General features: G+C 39.2%; 1 long non-coding RNA gene and 1 pseudogene across 2 annotated transcripts in view; both read right to left on the bottom strand.

Annotated features, from left to right (window-relative positions):
- LINC03003 (long intergenic non-protein coding RNA 3003) overlaps positions 1-3,442 on the bottom strand; it is a 66,468-nt gene extending 63,026 nt beyond the window's left edge. For both annotated transcript variants that reach the window (NR_134630.1, NR_134629.1), the window contains exon 1: positions 3,364-3,442. This is a non-coding gene — a long non-coding RNA (long intergenic non-protein coding RNA 3003). The remainder of the gene's footprint in view (positions 1-3,363) is intronic.
- OR2H4P (olfactory receptor family 2 subfamily H member 4 pseudogene) lies at positions 11,239-12,179 on the bottom strand (annotated as a pseudogene).

Below are 12,713 nucleotides of genomic sequence, written 5' to 3'. Positions count from 1 at the left end.
AATTCTTCCTGTCATATCCAGCCTCGTCTGCCTTACCCAAAGCTTCATGGGCTTTTTCGGTGAAATTTCTCCTAATTCCCTTCCTCTGCCTAATCCTCCTATTTCTCTGTTGAAAACAATAGCAATGTCTTCCCTACCATAAAAATCCTTGTGTGCCTTTATAATCCAAACACACTAGATGACTGTACAATGACAATACTTGTCATTTGTCCTGTGACTATGCCTTAATATGTTAAAATTTATTTCTTTATACATAAAAATGTATTTCAAGTATAAATAACTGGTTCTGAGTTTGCCATTTTATATAATTTGGAGAGTTCCTGAAGTCAAGAATTTAGAACCATGGAACTCTACACTGAAAAGCCACCAGCCAGGGCCAGCACATACCCAGAAGTTATTGTTTTGGGAATGGTCTGTCAATTTGGGGTCCGGGGTTTAGTGGATGTGCATGTGGAAGAAGGAGAAAGAGAAAACAGTTTTTGAATAGCTAGAGCGTTCTGTGATTGAGCAAAATAACAGTGTGTTTGCTGGGCCTTTTACCTTAAGACCTTAGTGAGTTTCTTAGCCTAGATTCTCTAAAAATCAGAGCTTGAGGCAAAAAAGGAAATATTAATGTTTTATTTGGGAATGCAAATAGAGGGCAGCAAAGGTGAGAAAAAAAGGGAACTGAGAGAAGGGAAATATGAAGCAAGGTGAGGTGATACATTTTCACACTGGCTACCACTTCCTGAGAAATTTTAGAAGGCTGCCTCACGGATGCTTTAATCTGCTCTCGCCACTCTCCTTCAGACAAGATAGGAGGAGGAATCTTGCTTTGGGTGAAAGAAAAAAAAAAGAAAGTATTAAAGTATATCAAAGAAGAAGGAGCTGTGTCAAAGGCTGTTAGTATAGTAGGTCAAGTGAGATGAAGATTAAGAACTGACCATTGGATTTAGCAATAAGGAAGTCATCTGTGACACTAAGGGAGGAGTTTTGCTAGAGAAAAAGAAGGCAACAGCCACACTGGAATGGAAGCAAGAGAGAACAGTGGGAGACAACTTAGAGACAGAAAGCATAGAAAACTCATGAATAGTGCTTTGCTGAAGGCAGGAAGAAATGATTCAATAGCTGTAGGGAAAGGGAGGTCAAGAGAAGGCAGAAAGAGTTTTTTTCTGTAAGATGGATGTAATGGCAGCATGCTTGTATTCTATGGTAATGACCTATAGAGTATGCAAAATTACACAGCAGGAGAGTGAGGGTGAACTCAGAAACAAAGTCTTTAGGTCGGTGAGGGGATGGATCCAGGGCAGCAGAGGATTGATCAGCCTTTGCTAGAGCACAAACAGTTCATCAATAGGAACCAGACAGAAAGTAGAATACATGGATATAGAAGCAGGTGGGTGTGTTGAGGTAGTATTGAAATCTGATAGAAATTCCTTTCTGATTTCTCCAATTTTCTCTGAAGTTTTGAAAAGCAGAGGCATCAGTTGGGAGTGAAGAAAAGGAAAGGATGTGCGCTTGGATAGAGCAGAGAAGGTGTGAACAGACACCTGGGAAGAGGGAAAGTACAGAAATTATGAAATATAGAAAACTAACGATTTTCTTTTCTGGATTTTCTTTTTGTTTTGTTGCATTTCGTTTTTTTTCAAAGGTTTATCTGGTGATATGTTATGATCCTGGGGGAGGAAGAGCTGAGCTCTACATTTGGCTCAGTCTATCATGGTGTTTCCCCGTGGGTCTCTTTTTTTCCCACTATATCTCTAACTATTTTATCATTTTCATCAAATGACTTCTTAAATCAATTGAAATAGTCATTTATAAAAGTCATTTGTATATAAACATTCCATTGTTTTCATACTTGTGTTTTAACTATAGTAAATACAGCACTTGATATACAGAAATTTAGTTCCAAATGTCTTTGATTGTTCAACTGCCTTTATAAATCTCCCACTATAACTTATTTAAAAAACAGAATATTGTACATGTACTATCTAGAAATTAAAATTATTTCTCTTCCCCAACATTTAAGTAATATATATTTAGAAAACACCATCCTAAGAGTTTTAATTCTATTAAGCTTCAATTTGAACTCCTGTATAACAATTTAACAGCAACGAAACTAGAATAGAGAGAATTTTTAATTACTTTAGGACAACAATGATATGGCTATTTTTCCTGGATGTTAAAAGTAGGTTCAGGGCCAGTTGCGGTGGCTCATATCTGTAATCCCAGCACTTGGGAGGCAGAGGCAGGAAGATCGCTTGAGCCCAGGAGTTCAAGACTAGCCTGGGCAAAATAGCAAGACTCCATCTCTACAAAAACATTAAAAAATAATAATAATAAGCAGGTCTATTTGAAGGTAGAATCAATGAGGAAGGTTATCTTCTTCTACTTTAAGATGTATAAATATGTAAATGATCTGAAGTTTTATTTCATTTTCTTGATATATATCAGTAATTACTTAATCTCTGTCCTGGAGATTTTGAAGCTAATTTTCATACTGTGCATTTTCTGGTCCAAAGATTCTTGATTTATTTTATATGCTTAATATGATTTTAAGTGTTCCTTTTATTCTTTTCAGATAATTCAGACTATATTTTGTTTGTGTCCTCTCCAAAGGTTTTACAAAAGCATAAATCAGATTATTGAGAGCTATCTAAGTAATATACATGTTCTGATTTGTTTATTACATCCACTCTAACATACCTGCATCTGTTTTATCTTCTCCAAGTGTCAGAGATTTGCTCTGACTTTTCTTGTTCTTTGGAACTTGTTCTAGGTGTTCTCAGTTCTGACTCACTCTAAGTTATTTCTGTTTATTGAGATATTTTCAATATGTTTATTTCTGTTGGCTTAATCTTTTATTTCATCCTTCAGTTTTTTGTAAAAGCTATTTTGGGTTTTCCCGAAGATGGACGTCTTCATCCAAACTCTACTTTATTGCTATGGCAAGTCTTCATTCATGTGATATAGTTTTAAAGTTATTTTGGCTTTATCCATTTGGTACTGATGGACTTTGACATATCTTCTAGTGACTGAATCCTTGTTTTAATGTCAGACACAAGTCATTATGAACATTTAGATACCTTTTTCTTCCATTTGTTTTCTAATGAGTCCAGTTTAAACTCAAAGAGTTAGATCTTTCAAGTTTTTAATTAACTAATTGCCTTTAAATTTGGAGTTCTTGATAAATTGTTCTCAAGACTAGACTCAATAAGAAAAAAATCTGTAACTCTTCCTATACTTTAAAAATCAGTTTAACCTAACCAAAATCTTCACTTTTTTTCTACCTAGAACAGAACTTCTTATGGAAAATACATTAATCCCTATTTGGATAAAGTCAGCTTTTAACTATTAAAAAAATTCAGATATAGCTGCACTTACCGCCATCTCCCATGTTAAGCCAGAGAGATCTGCTGTGAGTCTCATGTCTCCTGGTAACAGACATGGCCTCACTCAGCTTCTCCAGAATTCGTATAAAGTAAAACTTTATAGCAGTAGGCAGGTACTCTGTAACACCAGCTCTGCCTCAGGTTGCCAGGACCCTCCTATTCTACAACACACTGTAGAGAACACTGTGGAGTATTCTGCTCAGAACCTAAACCAGTGCCTGGCAACCAAGAGAGACCAGCAGTGTGCGTGGCGATAGGGGAGAACAGGCAGTGCTTCCAAAACATTTTCATTTCATAGCACACTTTAAGTTAGATGTACAAGGCTGACTTTCACCAGGGAAGATTGGCCACTGGGACTTTGTTCATCCAAGGCCACATCCATCAATCCCAAAATCTGGGAGGATAGATGGATTTTTACACATGTGCTATTCGGGAATCACTGACAAAGACTGTCAAATGAAAATGATGTGACTCAAAGGCTAAAGACTTTATTCAGGTGATGAGCATTGAGATCTCCTTACTGAAGTCAGATCAGAGTTTTTACAGGATAGAGGAAGTGGAGTACACATCCTCGTTACCTTGTTTTGGCTAAGGCAACAGCTTTCTATTTTAAAATCTCAGTTGGGGGCTTATACCTGCTTTCATGCCCCTTTCATGTCAATAATCATCAGAAAAGTATTTTTTGAGAATGATTTTTGCAAGCCTTGAGGTTTGTTAGTTAGTCAAGGTTCATGGGGTGGGGAGAGAGAGAGGAAGAAAGAAAGGAAAAGAGAGAGGAAGGGAGGAAAGAAAGAAAGAAAGAAGGAAAAAAGAATAAAAGAATAGGAAAGAATAAGAAAAGAGGACAAAGGTAGAAAGCAATGGGGAAACTGGAAACTTCTGTCTTGTTTGTTTTCATTGTTTTACAGAGTTTACATGCTCTCCTTCATGGTCAATATTTTCTTAATGTAAATATTTTTTTAGACCCATAAGGTTCTAATACTCCAAAAAAGTTAAACAAAGCCCTCCTTTTGGCAACCTATCCCTTTTTGTGTTTGGTCAGATCTCAAGTGTAGAAGAAGGAGAATGAAGGGTCTCATAATCAACTTACCACCTTGAATTTCAAATGTAACAACTCAAGGAATCAAAGGGGAACTTGAAAATCCTTCAAATATAAAAGATTTATAATCATGCTATAAATAACACCCAGCCCCTTACTCAGTCACTGTTCTTCATGTTTCCCAATTCTCAAGCAAAACGCAAAAACTTTCTATTCCCTGGCAGAGAGAGGAATAGAATACCATAATCAAACAGGCAGTTAATAATGAGTTGCTATAACAGAAGTTGCCATCCCTTGTTCTTCTCTATTTGTGAACATTCATGAGAACGGCTATTCCTATTCCATACAGTTCCAGTGAGTTCTTGACCATGAAACTGATCACAAGGGTGAACAAGTGATCCAATTTCAACAAGTCAGTTTTTCTTAGTGCTTTGAATCTTCAACAGATGGTATTGTCCAAATGGGGTTACCTGTTACTTCCAATCTGAATTCCCCAGGCCTACCCTGATTCATTTTACTCCAGTAACCTGATGGTCCTACTGGTTCTTTCATTTGGTGGGGTACTCACTGTATCTTTCCAAAATTTATTTTTCTTTTTTTTATTATAAAATTTTATCTTCTCCAATTGATTTTTCTTTTTTTTAAATTATTATTATACTTTTAGTTTTAGGGTACATGTGCACAATGTGCAGGTTTGTTACATATGTATACATGTGCCATGTTGGTGTGCTGCACCCATTAACTGTCATTTAGCATTAGGTATATCTACTAATGCTATCCCTCCCTTCTCCCCCCACCTCACAACAGTCCCCGGTGTGTGATCTTCCCCTTCCTGTGTCCATGTATTCTCATTGTTCAATTCTCACCTATGAGTGAGAACATGCAGTGTTTGGTTTTTTGTCCTTGCGATAGTTTGCTGAGAATGATGGTTTCCAGTTTCATCCATGTCCCTACAAAGGACATGAACTCATCATTTTTTATGGCTGCATAGTATCCCATGGTGTATATGTGCCACATTTTCTTAATCCAGTCTATCATTGTTGGACATTTGGGTTGGTTCCAAGTCTTTGCTATTGTTAATAGTGCCACAATAAACATACGTGTGCATGTGTCTTTATAGCAGCATGTTTTGTAATCCTTTGGGTATATACCCAGTAATGGGATGGCTGGGTCAAATGGTATTTCTAGTTCTAGATCCCTGAGGAATCGCCACACTGACTTCCACAATGGTTGAACCAAAATTTATTTTTTTTAAGATGGCCAGAGGTATTTTCTGTTTTTTACAACCAAAGGACCCTGATACATCTACCACATGTACACGATCATTTTTGAAGTATCAAAAACCAATACATTGAACCCTCTTAAAAACAGTAAAATATTTATGAATGCAGAAAACCTTCTGAGATTCTGATGTTCAGAATTATGAACCTAGTATTGGATGCTAAATAGAACTGTTTTAATAGTGGTAAGAATTGGAATATTATGGATTATCTGAGCTCCTCCTTGTCATAGAGGTGGATCCTGAGTTTTTGGGGACACAGAACTTGTTCACTTTGGTTAGATATCACATAAATTCTAAAGCTCAATCTTTTTGGAAAAATCTGGACACATTTGAGAAAAAGAATATGTCAAGGCATTTTCAGTTCTATACACTTCATTCTCTTACTTTCTTTGTTGAGTCAGGAGAGGACGCTCACTAATACGCAGAGACAAGGGCAGACAGCAAGATCTAGTAGAGGGTAAGAAACAAAAGATACTGCTTCAGGTCCAATGCCCTATGCTCCTTTATTTCCTTAAAGGCACAGGGAGGTCTAGTGCTGGAAAGAGACCCAGAGAGATATATAGATACTGCTACAATAACAGTAATGGAGAGAAACAAAGCAGTAGAGAGACAAAAAGAGACAGAGAAGCAGAGAAACAAAGAGAAACAGATGAAGAGCTTATAGATAAAGGCTGTATGGATAAAGAGCATATGGATAAAATCTGTTTCTCTGCAGAGAAACAGATTTAGAGACATAGGGAGAGAATCTCAGAGAAAGACAAGAGAGTCTCTCCTGCTTAAATAGCTGCAGTGCTCCTCTGTTACTGTTAAAGTCCAAATACAACCCACAAGACCACACCAACCTCTCTAGGCTGTTAATAATACTGTTCCCCCGATTGCCACCCTATAGTCAAACCAGTTTCTTAGAGTCTCTAAGTCACCACTGCCTTCCACATATTTTCTTGCATACACTAAGAGATCAATAAAAATATTTTGAATGAATGGCATATTATCTTGAAGCTGATGAGAAGGCATTGAAGGATGACTACTTTCTTCTCTCTGCCACAGGCTACAATCTACATGGAATATGCATACTCTGACAGTACAAGCATAGAATCAAAACCCAGGTCTCTGATCCACAGAAAGTTCACTGCTCTGTCTACCCCTAAGTAGAATCCTGCTATCCTTACCCACATCTTCCTCAAAGAGGCCACCCTTCTGCTGCCCACCACCTCTCCCCTCTCTTACCCAATGCAGTCACATCCATGTTCATACAGAAGTTAAGGTGTGTATGTAAGGGGTAAAGGTCAGTAGCCTGGCTGAGAAGCCAGTATGTATCTGCTAAGAAATTAGAAATTAGTTTCCTGTCTATTAATAAATTAGTATCTAAGTTAATTAAGAAATCAGATCTCACCAAGAGTGTAAAAGCTGTTTCCTATTTCTCCAAAGCCTTGCTAGCATCTATTATTTCTTGACTTTTTAATAATGGCCATTCTGACTGGTGTGAGATGTTATCTCATTCTGGTTTTGATTTGCATTTCTCTAATAATCAGTGATGCTCCTTATAGATTCTGGATATTAGACCTTTGTCAGATGGATAGATTGCAAAAATTTTCTCCCATTTTATAGGATGCCTGAGTTCAACCATTGTGAAAGACAGTGTGGCAATTCCTCAAAGACCTAGAACCAGAAATACCATTTGACCCAGCAATCCCATTACTGGGTTTATACCCAAAGGAATATAAATCATTTTATTATAAAGATACATGCACACATATGTACTTTGCAGCACTATTCACAATAGCAAAGGCATGGAATCAACCCCAATGCCTATCAATGATAGACTGGATAAAGAAAATGTGGTACATATACACCACTGAATACTACACAGCCATGAAAAGGAACAAGATCACATCCTTTGCAGAGACATGGATGGAGCTGGAAGCCATCATTCTCAGCAAACTAACACACGAACAGAAGACCAAACACTGCATGTTCTCACTTATAAGTGGGAGCTGAACAATGAAAACACATGGACACAGGGAGGGGAACCACACACACTGGGACCTGTCGGGGATAGGTGGGAAGAGCATCAGGATAAATAGCTAATGCATGTGGGGCTTAATACCTACGTGGTGGGTTAATAGGTGCAGCAAACCACCATGACATACATTTACCTATGTAACAAACCTGCACGTCCTGCAAATGCATCCCGGAACTTAATATTAAATTAAATTTTAAAAAAAGAAATTAGAGGCTGGGCGTGGTGGCTCATGCCTGTAATCCCAGCACTTTGGGAGGCTGAGGAGGGTAGATCATGAGGTCAGGAGTTCAAGACCAGCCTGGCCAAGATGGTGAAATCCCGTCTCTACTAAAACTACAAAAATTAGCCAGGTGCAGTGGCAGGCACCTCTAATCCCAGCTACTCAGGAGGCTGAGGCAGGAGAATTGCTTGAACCCAGGCAGCAGAGGTTACAGTGAGCTGAGATGGCACCACTGCACTCCAGCCTGACCGACAGAGTGAGATTCCATCTAAAAAAAAAAAAATTAGATCTCCAGAAACAACTCAGTTAGGTCACCTTAGGTGGCTCATGATCTCTTGTGCTGCTACCAATTCTGTCAACTGCTCTTGATCTTAACTACAGACCCAACTCTGCAAATTGCTGGAGAGAAAAGCCTCCTGTCTTCCCAGGATCATTCAAATTTTCTATAATTTAGATACAAATCCAACCCCCAGAGAGCTGGTTCACAAGATCCATAAAGAAATGCAAACTAATTTTTAAAAGAAAAATATATAATCCATTGCTTATTGTAATCTGTAATAGCTAAAATGAAATTAAAAGAGAATGCCAAAGCAGACCTTAATGCTAGAATAAGCTCAGATTTTGATGAGTGTGAACTCAGACCACTAACCTCAAAACCACCCCTCAAGAGAAAAATTATGTTGGGAACAAGATAAATTATCTCTACAACGTCTGATCCAAGAGGGCAGTTAACATGAGAGAAGGTATATTAGTCCATTCTCATGCTGCTAATAAAGACGTACCTGAGACTGGGTAATTTATAAAGGAAAGAAGTTTAATTGACTCACAGTTCCGCAAGGCTGGGGAGGCTTCAGGAAACTTACAATTATGGCAGAAAGGGAAGCAAACATATCCTTCTTCAGATGGCAGCAGAAGAGAGAAAAAGGGCAAAAGGGGAAAAACTCTTTATAAAATCATCAGATCTTGTGAGAACTCACTCACTATCATGAGAACAGCAGCATGGGGAGTAACCACTCCTATGATTCAACCTCTCACTAGGTCCCTACCAAGACACATGGGGATTATGGGAACTACAATTCAAGATTAGATTTAGGTGGAGACAAGGCCAAACCCTATCATTCTGTGCCTGGCCCCTCCCAAGTCTCATGTCCTCACATTTCAAAACACAATTATGCCCTTCCAACAAGTCCCTCAAAGCCTTAACTAATTCCAGCATTAACTCAAAGTCCAAGTCCAAAGTCTCATCTGAGACAAGGCAAGTCCCTTCTGGTTATAAGCCTGTAAAATCAAAAGCAAGTTAGTTACTTCCTAGATACAATGGGAGTACAGCATTGGGTAAATACACCCATTCCAGATGGGAGAAATTGGCCAAAACAAAGGTGTTGCAGGACCCATGCATGTCCGAAATCCAGCAGGGCAGTCAATTCTTAAAGCTCATAAATGATCTCTTTTGACTCCATGTCTCAAATCTAGGTCAAGCTGATGCAAGAGGTGGGCTCCCATGGCCTTGGGCAACTCCATCCTTGTGGCTTTGCTCCCCTCCTGGCTGCTTTCACAGGCTGGCATTGAGTGTCTCCAGCTTTTCCAGGCACACAGTGCAAGCTGTCAGTGGGTCTATCATTCTGGAGTCTGGAGGATGGTGACCCTCTTCTCACAGCTCCACCAGGCAGTGCCCCAGTGGGTACTCTGTGTAAGGGCTCCAACACCACATTTTTCTTCTGCACTGCCCTAGCAGAGATTCTCCATGAGGGCTCTTGCCAACCCAGCAAACTTCTTCCTGGACATCCAGGCACATCAATACATCCTCTGAAATCTAGGCGGAGGTTCTCAAAGCTCAGTTCTTGTCTTCTGCACACCCACAGGACCAACACCATGTGGAAGCTGCCAATGCTTGGGGCTTGCACTCTCTGAAGCGGTCTGTACCTTGGCCTCTTTTAGCCAAGGATGGAGCTGAAGCAGATAAGACACCGGGCACCATGTCCCAAGGCTGCATAGAGCAGGGGGGCTCTGGGCTTGGCCCAGGAAACTGTTTCTCCCTCCTAGGCCTCTGGGCCTGTGATGGGAGGGGCTGCTGTGAAGACCTCTGACATGCCCTGGAGACATTTTCCCCATTGTCTTGGTGATTAACATTTGGCTCCTTCTTACTTATGCAAATTTCTGCAGCCTGCTTGAATTTCTCCTCAGAAAATGGGTTTTTATTTTCTATCACATTGTCACTGTCTCTGAACAGGAGTGAACTGAGGGGGAAGCACTTGCTAGACCAGTGTTGTTAGCTGCAATCTGAAGCAACACAGTGGCTGAACCTAATATTCCTTCCAAAATTGAAAAAGTTTGGTTGTAAATGGAGAAGACAAATAATAGCTAAGAGTAAAGCAATAAACAAATGGGTTTTGTAATGAGGCAAATCTAATATTATATCAATACTGTGAAAGAGTCTAAGAGCAAGAGATGATATTGTTATAAGTTCCACGATGTTGATTATTTTATATGTTTTATCTACTATTACATAACTACCATCTGAAACATAATAGGTATATAATAGGAAAGCCATAAATATCTATAAAGTGAAAGAATAATTGGGTCTGATAAAAAGATAACCATTTTGTTACAATAAGGCCTCAGAATGAAGAAAAACACAGAAGTCTATTCCTATAACTGGGGGCCCAGAATATCAAGGCTCAAACTGAGAAACTTGCACACACACTCATCATAGTATCAGCACCAGAGAGCAGTAAATGTGGACTTTGGCATGGCAAACACTTTGCATTGGATAGTGAAAGTCACATTACAGGTCAACAGTGGTCATGCTGAGACAGAGAGACAGAAGCAATTAAAACCAAGACCTGCCATATTACAGTATAGGGGTACATATAAGTTGATCAAGAAGTTTCTGTCTCAAAACTTTAGAAATCTTGTTGGGACTGAAAGCACTGGTGGAGCTTGTAGGAAAATAGAACAAAAAAAGAACGAAATAGAAAGGCATGAAACGTACTACTTAGTATTTTATTTTGCAAGTAATGTGTTTCTTGTGTCTTCTCCTCCTCCCCCATTCAATTGCATTGTGTCCTTTTCAAGACAATAGCTATTAAATATATTAATTTTTATACCATACTGTGTCTAAATCCACAATATGAAGAATTTAAGGGCCCAATTGATTGATGAAGGAAACTGAAATCTCAACCTGAACAGAATGCAGCTCTTTCTCTCCTACTTTTGGCTTAGGAGGTGTATCTCCAGCTTTTTGTGATGAGGTTGTTCTCTATTCTTAGGTTAAGCAAAGGTAAACATATGTTAACCTTGTTAGTTATTCTGGGAATCCCAGGTCCTCCTCCCCAATCTTATTAGTGCTCCCTTTACCTCCTTGTTCCTTAGAGTGTAGATGAGGGGATTAAGAGTTGGGGTTACTACAGTGTAGAAAAGAGTGAGAAATTTGCCCCATTCATGAGGATAGTGATTTTTTGGTTGAAGGTAGACACCTGTGACAGTGCCATAAAAGAGAGAAACCACAAGAAGGTGAGAGATGCAGGTGCCAAATGCTTTCTTCTGTCCTGCAGTTGACTTAATTCTCAGCACAGCCTTAGCAATAGCACCAGAAGAGGAAAGGATAATGATCAAGGGCATCACCAGGAGGACAACACTGGCGATAGACATCTGAATTTCACTGTAGGTAGTATCAGTACTGGAGAGCTGAATCAGAGCTGGGACTTCACAAACAACATCATCCACCATCCGCTGGGAGCAGAAGGGTAACCGGAGGGTGGCAGGGGACTGGATCAGAGACTGGGCCAAGCCAGTCCCCCATGCCAAGATAGCCAGCTGCAGACAAAGTTTTGGGTGCATGATCATGGTATTTTGCAGTGGATGACACACTGCTACATAACAATCCACAGCCATGACAACAAGAAGGACACATTCCGTGGCCCCAAGCCACAAAAAAACATAGAGTTGAATGGCACAGCCAATGTAGCTGATGGTCTTTTCTGGGCCCCAGAAGTTAATCAACATCTGTGGAACACAGCTGCTGGTCAAACAGAGGTCTACCAAGGAAAGGTTGGAAAGAAAGAAATACATAGGGATGTGGAGTTTTGGATCCTTCAAGGACACAAGAACTATGACCATATTTCCTGCAAGAGTCAAAAAATAAAAAATAAAAATGATCCAAAAAGTATCTTCTCCAAATGTGGCTTGTTAGAGAAGCCCAGAAGGATGAAATCACTGTGGCTGTCATTGCAAATTATAATCATAGCTACTGGGGCAAATGCCTCTCTGGGGAACGGTTCAAAAGTAGTTCCTCAAAAGCCTGTGATGGTTCCAGTACAGACAGGAAGACGGGTGGTATATGACTTGTTTGATTCCTTTCTACTCAAGGATAAGATTTTCACCAGCTGTATTTTGGGAAAAAATACAAGATTTAGTGAAGTGCTTTAATCTTTGATATTCATCATTCACTCTCTCTCTTCCTCTTTTACATCTTCCTCATATTTTGTCTCTGATTAAAATTGTTCATTATAAATATTATATAAAATACATGTAAGCACCTGCTAGTGAAAATCACTTTGCTAAATATTAGATGTGTTTCATCTGTGCTCTCAAAGAGTATACATTTACCACATTTATTACATAGTTCTAATCACTGCCTATTAGCTTTATAACTTTCTCTATTTCTTTTGTTCTCTTATTTCTCTGTGACCTTGTATCTTGATTTATTTCACTCTCTGTCTCCCATGTTTCTCTCTTTTCCTTCCCCTCTTCTCTCCCTGGATCTTCTCCCTTTATCT

This window comes from Homo sapiens, chromosome 6, assembly GCF_000001405.40.
Source record: "Homo sapiens chromosome 6, GRCh38.p14 Primary Assembly".
In the NCBI taxonomy this organism is placed as follows: domain Eukaryota; kingdom Metazoa; phylum Chordata; class Mammalia; order Primates; family Hominidae; genus Homo; species Homo sapiens.
This window is presented reverse-complemented; position numbering and strand designations above follow the sequence as displayed.